Raw genomic sequence first — 13,514 nt, forward strand, 5'->3', positions numbered from 1 at the left:
TAGTGTCCTCTAAATGTAATATTTATGAAAAACATAATTACTAGATGATTCAGTGGTTTAAAGAATTAAAATCATGAGATTCAGATTTCGTTTTATATTTTATTTTTTACATATGTGGAAATCTTACGCTCATTTGATTCCTTTGCCACATGGTGGCATCATTGCATGAGTTTACATATTTAGATTATATATCAAACACCTTTTCAGAACACACATAGTCTTTGAAATTTATAAATCCTGTCACTTACATATTAGAATCTGGAAGGTAGTGCATTCTTAACCTTTAGAGTGTAAAATTCTTAATAATTATAATCCAGTTCCTGCACATTTTGGCCAAGTTGTCATCTGTCTTCTAACCCTCACAGAGCTCCTTTTGAAGTCATTGGAGCTCCCTGTGCTGAGCATTTCATGGGGGTAAAGAGCAAGGTGAGAGTTTGGGACCAGTAAAGTAAATAAGTACCATCTTAAATGCAGTTGCTTTATCCATCAAAATAAAAATTTATTTCTTAAATGCGTAATTGCATGGGACACTAGATGGCAGCATTTATCCTTTTCCGTTTTTATCCAACCTCTTCTAGAAATTTCTTAAATGTTTACATTTATAAAATGAACATGGTCAGATGATTTTAAGGTGTTTGAGATGTATATTACTGACACAGCCATGTTTGGGAATTAATTACCTATATATTTTTGCAGAGAGAGGAGCTTTTTATACAGTCCGTATGTAATTAGGGATTTATGGTTTTGTCTAAGTTGAGGAAAATTTCTAAAGACAATATGTTAAAAAACTTCAAAAGGGAGTTTTTACTAATGCATATTTGGTATTACCAGCACTTACGATAAACAGATAAAATATTGAAAACCTGGCGGTGCCAGTAAGCATTTAAGGCTTGAATAGAGGGACTTTGAATAATATAACTAGTCCACCTGGTTATGTAAACAGAAACTTGTTTACTTTGCTTTTGCTTATCCAGAGTTTGGTATGGCAATTCAAGTTCAGCAATCATAAAGATTTCTGTTAGCTTGGATAGAGAAAGTTTCTGTGAATCATTTTATACCGTCTGATACTGACATTTAGGAATTCCTAAATAGAGAGAAATTAAAATTTTGGCATCTGCGGTACTTGGTACTAGGCTAAATATTAAGTTAACACCTACATCATTTAAATAGGTGAAATTTATAAGTAGATTATTAGTGTATGACCATTTGGCCAGGCAGTTGACCTTTACGAGCCTATCAAACTCTCAATATTTTTGAAAACCAAAAATAAAGCCAAAAAACCCCCCAGTTACAATATAAGATTTGAGTTGTTATAGAAGATGTCACAAAATAGCTAATTTTTAAAATAGATTTTTCACTCAAACTCAGTTTCTGGCTTTTTATTAAAAAGATAATTCTATGCAAACGTAACTTTCTGGTTCATCATAACATTTGGACGATATTCTGGTTTCTTCTGTAAATTATTATTTTGATTACATTAAAAAAATTTTTTTTTGTTTTATCAGGTTATTCTTGGACAGTATAATTGGCTTTCCTATGAAGATGTCTTTGTTCGAGCCTTTAATTTTGGAAATGGATTACAGATGTTGGGTCAGAAACCAAAGACCAACATCGCCATCTTCTGTGAGACCAGGGCCGAGTGGATGATAGCTGCACAGGCGTGTTTTATGTATAATTTTCAGCGTATGTAGACTTTCTTATCTTCTGGAAGAATGAACTTAACTGATATTTATTGAAATACTTTACTCTGAAGAGGTTAAAATTCTGATGTTAATTTTCACCCAGTGTCCAGTTAGTGGAGAACTCTGTTGTGACTTGGAATTTTTGGTTTATTTTGGAAAATAAATCAATTATATGACAAATTGTACCAATCAGTGTTGCAGTGAGGCTTGAACCTCTTCATGGGAGACTTTCAGGTCTTGAGAACTAGACCTACACTTAGGGGCCGTTGTTCCAATACCATTTCTCAGGAATCCTCTTTAGAAGTTACTGTCAATTTTGTTCTGTCACCTCTATCAGTAACAACAGTTGACCTCCGAAACACTTCCATACTGAAACCTGGTGAACTTCAAGGTGCAGGTTAAACAATAGAGTTTTCATATTGTAATTATCTGAATGGTAATTGTGGTGGCTCAGTCTGTGAGATAGTTCTGGAAGCATAAGTTCAGAGGTCTCGGTGCCAAAATGTGACAGTAATTTGTGGATGTTTAGTCTCATCCTTCAGATGAAACAGAAAATACACTTTCACCAGATTTCTTGCTGTAAATTCCTCCACCTTTTCTTTTTCTTTTTTTTGAGATGGAGTCTCACTCTGTCGCCAGGCTGGAGTGCAGTGGCACAGTCTCAGGTTACTGCAGCCTCTGCCTCCCGGGTTCAAGCAATTCTCCTGCCTTAGCCTCTCGAGTAGCTGGGACTGCAGGCGCATGCCGCCATGCCCGGCTAATTTTTTGTATTTTTAGTAGAGATGGGGTTTCACCCTGTTGGCCAGGATGGTCTTGATCTCCTGACCTTGTGATCCGCCCACCTCGGCCTCCCAGAGTGCTGGGAATATAAACGTGAGCCACCGTGCTAGGCCTCCTACACCTTTTCTTTTAAACAAACATTCCATTTTTGTTGTCACAGGTTTGGATTTACATTGTTTCTTTTGAGGAGCTTTAAAAGAATTATTTTCAAAGTCATTTTGTGTATCTTTTTTGAGTTAGGCAGAAAGTAAATAAAAATCTACACTATTCATGTTATGTAATTTCAGCATTTCAGAGAATGTTTGTCTTTAGATATTTTTGCTTGAGAATAAACGGTACTGCCACTTGTTTGTGCTCTTTTCTTGACATACACCGTAAATCTGACATTCAGTGTGTCATCCTATTTGTATATGTTCTTTTTCACATTGTAAAGCCAAGTGGCCAACAATTAAGAATTTGAAGTCTTAGAAATCAGTTATAATTCCTTCACAATGTGGTAGTCCCAGAGTAACATCTGTAAGTGAAACAAAATAAAAATTTAAATATCTTCATCTTTAAAAATTGGAAATCTTGGGGCATTTAGGGGAGGATGAGTAGGTGTAATGTTGATTAGTATGATAAGATAACTTTAAAAAACATAACACTTATAGACTGTGGATTTAACAGTTTAGGGCTCCTAATGCGTTATTATGATTCATCTCCACATTCAGAGACTTTACATTTGTAGTTAAATGTTTGAATATTTGACTGGCTGCTGCTTTTCCTTTTAGTTGTTACATTATATGCCACTCTAGGAGGTCCAGCCATTGTTCATGCATTAAATGAAACAGAGGTGACCAACATCATTACTAGTAAAGAACTCTTACAAACAAAGTTGAAGGTGAGGACTCTAGTTACTTTCTAACTGTCTGATACTTTAGAATTTTCAGTGTCATGAGCCCTATTATTGATACTTAGTTCTTTTATGACTTTTAAGTCCTTAATCTTTGTGGACTTTTATGAATATCATACTTTATTTTTTCCTTTAGAAAATAAAAAGTAGATTTTGTATATATTCATGTATAAGTAATCCAGAGTTATAAATTGTTAAGATGCCTATGTTTAAATTGAAGAAATTACGACTACTTTTTCTCTTATTGTGCTCATCTATTTTCTAGTTTACTTTTAGTAAATTTGTAATTTTGAAGGGTTATATTTTAAACTAGTAATTTTTATTTTACTTCTGAAGCATTAAGTAATTACAAGTTTTCAGAATTGTTTGGAAGTTAAAAAGGGAGACTTTTAATTATATTACAGTAAAAAGAGTTTCTTTGGTCTCTAGACAACTCCCAGAAATATCTGGGCTATTCTATATGGGGGAAGGAGGAGAAAATTCACATGTAAACTTGTTCAAAAAGAAAATTTTGAACAAGTTTGCATGTGAATTTTCTCCTCCTTCCCCCATATATTTTTATGTAGTCTCTTGAAAATATGAGGGGCTTCTGGTTTCTCTACAGTTTAGGCAACCTGTGTTTACATGCCCGTTTTATAAGGCAGTACCCTTCTTGATCAGGGTTTTACCAAAGGCCAAGGGTACACACAGTGAATCTAATGCTATAAAATAATAATTTAAATTCAGACCAATACTTAATCATCTGTAAAAAGTGATATTATGCCAGTGTACCCTTTCTTCTTTCTTTTTTGAGGCAAGAAATTACTTAATGATTCACCGAATATGGTAAACTAGTATTCTTATTCGCTAAGCTGCTTGAAAAATAATGAACGTGATGAATGTTGGTGTATTTCTAGGATATAGTTTCTTTGGTCCCACGCCTGCGGCACATCATCACTGTTGATGGAAAGCCACCGACCTGGTCCGAGTTCCCCAAGGGCATCATTGTGCATACCATGGCTGCAGTGGAGGCCCTGGGAGCCAAGGCCAGCATGGGTATGTTACACTTTTCTAATTCCTTACCTGTGCTTTCTGGTGACCACATTCTCCAGAATTATGCCAAAGTTTTGATTCTGAGGTTAGCTCAAATGACACATCAGTTTTCTAACATCAGTTAGGAAAACAGGTCCCTCTAGGTATACTTTCATCTTGTCTTTAAAGAAAGTTTTAAGGAAAAATATAAACATTAATTATTAATGTTTTAAAGGTAGTATTTATTTGAAATTTAAAATATTTTACATTCAGTTTTCATTTCTTTTTTATGGTGATAGTTTTGGGTGGTTTAAAGTTAGTTTATAAATAATGACATTTATCTTGTCCTATGTGAATTACCTGTAAGTGTTAACAGAGTGGCTAAACCTGGAGGCCTCCTTTTACTCCCTGTTCCAGTTCTTCCCTTTCCTGAGGTGAAAACCTTACCCTCCAACTAGCACACCTAGGCATGGTGACTCTACAAGTTCCTATTCTCAAAAAAGCGTCAGAAAATGTTAGCTAGTGTACTAGTGTTTAGAGATACTGCAAAAGCTGCTGGGATGCTGGGACTGCATTTCCTCTGTAGTTGGAAACCTAGTAATTAGATGTAAGCATTCACTCAACTCAAATTTTAGGCACCTGGAATTTGAGTGGTAGTGGGATATTTAGATGCAGATATATTGTGGACAGTGGTGTGTAAAAGTCTAGTACTCGAGTTATGTTTGGACTTAGAGATTTGGAAGCTAGAAGCAGTTAGGTTTTAATTATAGCTGTGGGAGTAGGGGGTGAGGTCACCAACAGGGAATGGTGGCTTCAGAGGCTACTAAGGACTAGTCAGAGAGGAAAGAAGAAAATATCTAGTAGTATGTGGTTCCTGGAAGCCAAGGGAAAGGAGATCTTGGTGAGTCATCAGCAGGATCAGGGGCTGCATGCAGAGGTCAGATGACACAAGGATTGTAATTTCCAAGAAGTGGTGGTGTTGGAGAAGGGTGCTGTGCATTGAAGGAGTGAAGGGCTGATTTGGAAGTAAAGACTTCCAAGTGTAAACATTATTTAAGAAATGTATCTTGACTGACAGGAGAGGAAGGGTATTCTATTGGGAGTACATTTAAATAATTTTTTCACACTCATTTAGAAGTTCACATGTAGAGTAGTTCTGGGAGTGGTTCAGACATATCAGCAATGCCAACCATGACCTATTTCTCTTTGTTCTTCTGCTGTGCCACCTCTATAGCTTCTCAGCTGTTGTCCTTAGGCTGGTACTCTTCTGATTTCAAATGGTTCACATCGTGTTTTAATGCAGGACTCTGAGTGTAACCAAGTTAGTCACCATTCTGAAGCAGTGAATAGTTTTTAGCAAACACCTAGATACTCTAGTCCAAAGCTACCTTTATTTCTTAGTTGAATTACTGGGATAATCTTGTCTCCCTGATACCTTTTTTCCCCTTGTAAAGTTAGTTAGCCACACAGCAGCCAAAGTGATCTTTTTTTTCACAGATAATAACATACTCCTGTTCAAAACAACATTGCTTTACATCCAGAACGTAATCCAGAGTTCTTCCCGTGGCCTTTGAGGTCCTATGTGTGGTCCCTGATAGCCACTTGACTATTGTTTCTTGCCACTCTTCCTCTTGCTCACTCTGTTCCAGCCACACTCCTTGCTGGTCTTTAGATATGCTGAGCACATTCCTACCTTTGGGTCTTTGCATTTGCTTATTTCCTTCTAATTAGAACACTCTTCTCCCAGTTCCAGGGTTTCCATGGCTCCCTTCCTCACTTTATTCAGGCCTTTGCTAAACGAAACTCTACAGAGACGGTCTCCAGGCTTTTCCATCCAAATAGCATCTATTGTCATCTTCTCACCTTGTCTTGCTTCAGTTTTCTTCATAGGTTAATCTGTTTGTATATCTCAATAGAATATATCTCCCATACGTGCAGGGACTTGATCTGTTTTGTTGATCTCAGTATAACTAATATTTGTTGAATTGAGTTAAATTAACTCAATTTGATTGAGTTATTTATTTGATGATAATGAAAAGAAATTGTTGATACAGCTGAATCTCATGAAAGTGTATGTGTGTGTTTTTTCTCTTCAATGCAGAAAACCAACCTCATAGCAAACCATTGCCCTCAGATATTGCAGTAATCATGTACACAAGTGGATCCACAGGACTTCCAAAGGGAGTCATGATCTCACATAGTAACATTATTGCTGGTATAACTGGGATGGCAGAAAGGATTCCAGAACTAGGGTATGTCATAGTAAAGTAACATTGAGTAGTTAAGTATTTATGTCTGTTATAATGTTAGCATTTGTGTCATTTTATTAATATATGGCTAAATTAGTCCCTCAGAGTCTGTTTGTAGTAGGCATTTCCTTAAAAAATAAAAAAGGACATTAAAATTAATGGCAAAATAGTTATAGTTGTGAGGTTGAAAATATATCATATAGATATATTTTAAAAAGTACAGAACTTAAATTTGTATAGTTGTAAATCCTTTGTTTTAATCAGCTTGTATTTGCTGCTGTAGTTTTTTTTATATCTAAATACAATTCAGGTGAACAGGTAACTTAATTTATCCACTAAGTATTTGTTGAGCTTCAGTATTTGGTCTCTGATTTTTCTTGTTAATACAAACTCCAGTGGTAGCAGTGGAAGGTAGAGTGGAGTGGGGAAGAGACTGATGGAGGAAACCAGATGGAAGTTTGAGGGACTGTCAAGGAAACATTGCCAGAGATGCAATTGGTATTCTGATGACCGATAGGGTACAGTGGTTGGATATTTTTGATGCTTTTATGCACAGAAATTACAAACATACACGCACACACACACTCACGTAATTGCTATGGTACTGAACTTGGGGATGGAGGAATGTCTCTTACGTATGCATACATTTCAGAAAAAATTAAGTGCAACAATTTTCTTACAGGTTTGCCTCAGTTACCTTCTATATTTTGGTTATGGGGGCAGCTCTTGAAGTATATACAAATACTTACACATTTTCTGTATATTAAGATCTAATTTATTATGTAATCCAATTCCCACAACAAGAGTCTTATCTGTAAAATTTCTGGCAGATAGTTGTGGATTCTACTTTAACTCTTCTGGTTGGCAACCCACTAGATGTAAAGACCATTTCCTCCTTGGATGATTTCTTCTGTTCTTCAAAAGAACCCTGTATTATTATTTGTTTAAGCCACTGTTTCTTGTGCCTCAGTACTTTGCTTCAGCAACGCTTATAATTCCTGAGTGCTTTTAAGTAGGACGGGAAACAGCATTCCTTCCTGCAAGTGTGCGCCTCCTTGCTTTTGGGTTGAGCTGTAATTCTTTTTCCCTCCCATCCCCAGCATCTGCCTATCCTCTGTTTTCACCTGTCTCTCTCTCTCTCTCACAAACACATACACACTTGACCAGCAAATTGATGCCCTGGGGCCCTTCCATGTGCCTTCAAGCTTGCTCCCATTATAGGGCACTTTTGGCATAGACGACACCTGACTTTTGTTTCTGACGTCTCCCTTTTCTTTTAGAGAGGAAGATGTCTACATTGGATATTTGCCTCTGGCCCATGTTCTAGAATTAAGTGCTGAGCTTGTCTGTCTTTCTCACGGATGCCGCATTGGTTACTCTTCACCACAGACTTTAGCAGATCAGGTAAGTTCAGTGTCTGTGACTTGAAATACTAAAAAATCATAGTGAATTGTAATGCATTTTTTTCAGTCAGTATGACAGTATATTGCGAGAGCGATGGTTCATTTTAAAATGAGCTTTAGCCTTTTAAGTGCTTCTTAGACTGTAAGTACATTAAAATAATTTATAATAGGCTTTTTGATCTAAGAATACCATTGAATTTTAAAAATAAGGATCACTTTATATGGATCACTTTTTCTTATTTTGTAGTCTTCAAAAATTAAAAAAGGAAGCAAAGGGGATACATCCATGTTGAAACCAACACTGATGGCAGCAGTTCCGGTAAGAAGTGACCCTTATTTAATATTGAGTATTAAAGAAGTATCACCCGCTACAAAGCATTAGTGCTAGTGAAAAATATATTGTTGACAAGGTAGTTTATGTAGGATTTATTCCTTATTGATTATAAATATTGCCTTAGGCGCTATGGGATTTCTTCAGTCTTGTTTTAGCTTGCTTTCTTATTTACTAAGCACTCAACTTAATTTCAGCTTCTGTGTGTAATTATCAACTTGTTTGCCTAAATACCTTCTTGTTAAAATAAAAATTATTTTCATGATATCTGTTGGTGAATTCATTGACACTTGAAGCCTATTGAGAGCTAGGAGGGAAAGTGTGAGATCACCTCCTTTTAAGCAAGCTGTATAGTTACCTCCTGAGTCCTCAGGGAAAGTCTGGCCTAAACACCAAACAAAGTGACAGAGAAGCTGGTGCAGCTTTGAATGACTTAAGAGGGGCTGTTCATCCTTACATAATATAGGGGCCTGGGAATAAGACAAGGGAAATGGGGCAGCAGTGATTTTCTGGCTCCTTATAACATAGGCTGAGTTTGTTTGGAAATGATGGGAATTATTGTCGGGTACCTAAATGCTTACGTCAAGAATAATTACATAGTTACTTCAAAGTCAAATATAAATAATCAGTAGTTTCTTTCTATAATTATAGTTTCTTTAGTATCCAACTTAAATTCTTAGTTCACTTAAAAATGACGTACAATTTAAAGTTGTGGAGGAAACATTATTTTAAGTCATTAAAGTATACTTCACAGTAATGGACCTAGCAAGCAAAATGCAGCACAGACAAGGAAAACTTCCTGGTGCAATATCGAAAGTCAAATAGCCAAACAAAAACTCCCAAACGTTGCATGGTCTTTTTGTGAGCAAAGAATGTGGTACTGTATATTTTTATAAGATAAAGTTAGGACATTTTGAAAAACCATTTCAGACGGTTGTTCGTTTATTTTGTGAGTAGGTTTTAGTTCAGAATTAGTAAGATAAGCAAAGCAATATAAAGAATATCTTACAATTTATATGAGTATCTAGATATATTTCTGCTTTTAAAAATTATTTTTGTGGAAACTTTATTTTTAAACTAATTGTGGTTCGATTTTAAAAGTTTGATCTTGATAGGATACATCTTTTTGAAAAATTCACAAAAGGTTTTTTCCTTCTTGCTGAATCACATCCACAGTTGAAGAGTACTTCTTTTAAAATGCCTTAATATTGCTAGAAATGTTAATCTAATGCTAAGTGAATATGTAAGGCAGCTGTTATTATTAACTATGTTAAACTCATTTTTATACATTTAGGAAATCATGGATCGGATCTACAAAAATGTCATGAATAAAGTCAGTGAAATGAGTAGTTTTCAACGTAATCTGTTTATTCTGGCCTATAATTACAAAATGGAACAGATTTCAAAAGGACGTAATACTCCACTGTGCGACAGGTAAGTAAAGACTCTCTACCTCCTTCTTTCTCCTCTTGATAATTTAATCATTTAGTTCACATTAATAGCCCAATTAATTGAGATAGTTATAAGAAAGAAATATATTTCATAAAGTCAAGAGAACTCTTTAAAAAAAATCCATCCCAGGCCAGGCGCGGTGGCTCATGCCTGTAATCCCAGCACTTTGGGAGGCCGAGGCAGGTGGATCATGAGGTCAGGAGATCGAGACCATCCTGGCTAACACAGTGAAACCCCGTCTCTACTAAAAACACAAAAAGAAATTAGCGGGGCTTGGTGGCGGGCGCCTGTAATCCCAGCTACTCAGGAGGCTGAGGCAGGAGAATGGTGCGAACCCAGGAGGCGGAGCTTGCAGTGAGCCAAGATTGCGCCACTGCACGATCTGTCTGCCTGGGCGACAGAGCGAGAATCCGTCTCAAAAAAAAAAAAAAAATCCATCCTGGCTGAACACGGTGGCTCACTCCTGTAATCCCAGTGCTTTGGGAGGCCAAGGCGGGCAGATCACCTGAGGTCAGGAATTCAAGACCAGCCTGGCCAACGTGACAAAACCACATCTCTACTAAAATTACAAAAATTAGCCAGAGTGGTGGCATGTGCCTGTAGTCTCAGCTGTTAGGGAGGCTGAAGCAGGAGAATTGCTTGAACTCCCTCGGGAGGCAGAGGTTGCAGTGAGCCGAGATCGTGCCACTGCACTCCAGCCTGGGTGACAGAGTGCGAGACTCTTGTCTCAAAAAAAAAAAAAAAAAAAAAATCCATCTTGACATGGGAGGATTGCTTGAGGCCAGGAAATCAAGACCAGCCTGGGCAACATAGCAAGATTCCTTCTCTGCTTAGCTGGGCATGGTGTCATATATCTGTAATCCCAGCTACTTCAGGGACTGAAGTAGGAGGATTGTTTGGGCCCCCAGTGGGAGGATTATTTGGGCCTGGGAGCAATGACTGCACCACTGCACACCACCCTGGGTGAAAGTGAGACTCTGTCTCTTTAAAAGACAAGCAAACAAAAAACCTTTGTAATAGTATGAGCAGTTTAAAAAACCTGCAATGTCATTAAAAGTGTGTTTTCACTTAAGATTTTGCTATTTGTGAGTTTATATTTTCTGTGAACACTTAGGGAGTTTTAATTATTTTGAGAAATAGTTTCTCTTTTGCTTTTATATTTATTTCAGTATGAATATAATTAAATGTTTTGTATTTAAAGCTTTAAATGATCAGTTTTGTTCCAGCTTGTATTTGTGTAGTGTTAATAGAGTACATAGATTTATGATTTGATCATAAAATAGCTTAGAAGTTAGAAAATGGAAGTATGACATTCAAAGTATTTTTTATGGTAATATTAATATAGTTTTCAGATGCTTCACATAATTTAGAACTTTGTAAGTTTTTTTCCTGCCTTACGTTAGTTATTTCTTCAGTGAGTTGTAAAGTCGGCCCTCTGTATCAACAGGTTCCACATCTTTAGATTCAACCAACCGTGGATCAAAAGTATTCTGGGGAAAAAACAATAAAATATAACAGTGGAAAAGAAAATACAGTATAACAACTATTTACAATGAATTTATATTGTATTAGGTATTATAAGTAATCTAGAGATAATTTAAAGTATTTTGGAGGATGTGTGTAGGCTTTATGCAAATACTATGCCGTTTTATATAAGGGACTTAGGCATCTGAGGGTTTTGGTATCCAGAGGACTGGATGCCAAGGGATAACTGTAAAAGCTGATTTGAAAAGTCTGTTAATACCATTTTTAAAAAATTGTCACCGTGTAGTCTTCACCTTTTGCAAAGATTTTTTTTTTTAAGTACTACCTCTCCTTTTTGATCAAGGCAGTATGCAATCTTTGTATTAGTGTATTTTCAGAAACATCAATTAGATGTTTAACTTGTTTCCTTTTTTAAATGCTTCACAGATAATTTACTAGATTATTTTTAACAAACAATTCAAAGCTTGAATTAGTGAAACTTCAAAAACAGATTGTGGTATACAAATTATACACATTTCTAATAAAGTACATTAAAGCAAAAATTAATTTGATTTTAATACATTTCATAAAGATGATAGAATTGTTCAGTATTAATATATGATAAATATTTTATGTAAATAATGATATAAAAGTGGCCATAAGCAAGGGTTTTCCTGTCACTATACAAAACTAAACCTGACAATTCAAATTCGAATATCACTTGAAAAGCTCTTAAGAGGAAATAATAAATTCTTTACCTTGTTGAACTTCAAAAAATTAACATTTGGGGCTCAAGAGACTCTCCAAATTGGCTGTGTGACCTTGGATAAGTAACTTAATCTCAAAATCTCTCATATCAAAACTGGGGGATTAGTTTAAGTGATTTGGAAAATCCCATTCAGTTTTAAAATCCTGTGGTTCTCTAATTTTTTTCTTTAGCTTTGTTTTCCGGAAAGTTCGAAGCTTGCTAGGGGGAAATATTCGTCTCCTGTTGTGTGGTGGCGCTCCACTTTCTGCAACCACGCAGCGATTCATGAACATCTGTTTCTGCTGTCCTGTTGGTCAGGGATACGGGCTCACTGAATCTGCTGGGGCTGGAACAATTTCCGAAGGTAGTGTTCTCCATGGTCAGAGGCTGGAGTGTGATGCCAGACGTTTTTTTGGGGTATGGGATATTTTCTGCAAATATATAGGAGAAGAGTAGTAAGGTGTTTGTGAGGCAGAATAATGGTGGATTCCAAGTACTATGATCATTGATATCAATTTTTAGAATGTATTAGATGCATCTGGAGTCAATAATTTATCTGGAGAAGTTTTTATATCAAACTGATAGGTAATATTAAAAACCACTTAGCATTTTGGAAGAGAAACTTTAGTAACAAACACTGACTGTTTTGTGTACATTTATTTTCTCACATCAGTGATTAAATTTCTTTTTATGTAGAAAACTTAAGGTGCTTTTGTTTATTTGTGTAGGTGAGTATATTAAGGCTCAGGTTCAGAAATGTTTATGAGGATTTCTGTAAGTGTTAGAGAAGGAACTAAGTTCTGGTCTAGGGAATATTATTACCAGAGTTTATCATGTGGTTGTGTTTGAGGAGGAGATCTACCAACTAATCAGCAGTTCTGAGATGAATCGCATAGGGCCTCATGCGTCCCTTTTATGGGAGAAAGTTATTTTGCTTTCCGGTACAGGATACAGCTGTGCTTCTCCTACTTTGTATTTGCCATATACGGATAGATACAAAACCTCATGACTGATTTTTCCCTATTTATTTTGAGTGGCTCTGTATACCATTTTCATGTATTACTTCATTTTTCTGTTTTTCAGTTATGTTCTCTGTTTTCGTATATTTTTGGAAGCTAGTTCTAAGTCATGTTTTGTAGGAAATAAGCAATCTTAAATACATGCATAGGGGATTTCTTTCTTCTGAGGATCCTTAATTTCTTCTATTTTTAAGATTCAAATTGAATGATTAATCAGTAACAGTTTATGTTTTAAATAAAAGTCTTTAAAATGTTAAATATCAGCCTTTCATTTCTGATATTTGGTCTTTGAAGAGGAAACATAATGCAATAGTAATTCATAATAGTGGAGGGTTCTTTCCTCACATCCTTGAAAGCCACCAGTCTTATTCTTCAGCCTGGCTCTTGAGCTATTGCTGTATTAATTTTAAATAGGGTGTGATAGCATAAGCTGATGGAAGCCTGCAGAGATCTCACTTTGAAATGGTGATACATTACATGGGA

The 13,514-nt window shown here is 36.0% G+C and overlaps 1 protein-coding gene and 1 long non-coding RNA gene across 5 annotated transcripts in view; one reads left to right on the forward strand and one right to left on the reverse strand.

Annotated features, from left to right (window-relative positions):
- The window catches only part of ACSL3 (acyl-CoA synthetase long chain family member 3), an 83,604-nt gene that overhangs the window by 53,778 nt on the left and 16,312 nt on the right, over nucleotides 1-13,514 (forward strand). For all 4 annotated transcript variants that reach the window (NM_004457.5, NM_203372.3, NM_001354158.2 and 1 more), the window contains 8 exons: nucleotides 1,506-1,683; nucleotides 3,233-3,342; nucleotides 4,251-4,389; nucleotides 6,467-6,617; nucleotides 7,895-8,018; nucleotides 8,265-8,336; nucleotides 9,643-9,782; nucleotides 12,204-12,376. In NM_004457.5, coding sequence (NP_004448.2) covers nucleotides 1,506-1,683; nucleotides 3,233-3,342; nucleotides 4,251-4,389; nucleotides 6,467-6,617; nucleotides 7,895-8,018; nucleotides 8,265-8,336; nucleotides 9,643-9,782; nucleotides 12,204-12,376 — 1,087 coding nt within the window. The remainder of the gene's footprint in view (nucleotides 1-1,505; nucleotides 1,684-3,232; nucleotides 3,343-4,250; nucleotides 4,390-6,466; nucleotides 6,618-7,894; nucleotides 8,019-8,264; nucleotides 8,337-9,642; nucleotides 9,783-12,203; nucleotides 12,377-13,514) is intronic.
- ACSL3-AS1 (ACSL3 antisense RNA 1) lies at nucleotides 1,841-4,788 on the reverse strand. The gene is made up of 3 exons (XR_923949.3): nucleotides 4,726-4,788; nucleotides 4,417-4,546; nucleotides 1,841-2,976 (listed from the first exon to the last, which is right to left on the reverse strand). It is a non-coding gene; the product is annotated as an ACSL3 antisense RNA 1 (long non-coding RNA).

The sequence above is a fragment of the Homo sapiens genome, chromosome 2 (assembly GCF_000001405.40).
Source record: "Homo sapiens chromosome 2, GRCh38.p14 Primary Assembly".
NCBI lineage: Eukaryota > Metazoa > Chordata > Mammalia > Primates > Hominidae > Homo > Homo sapiens.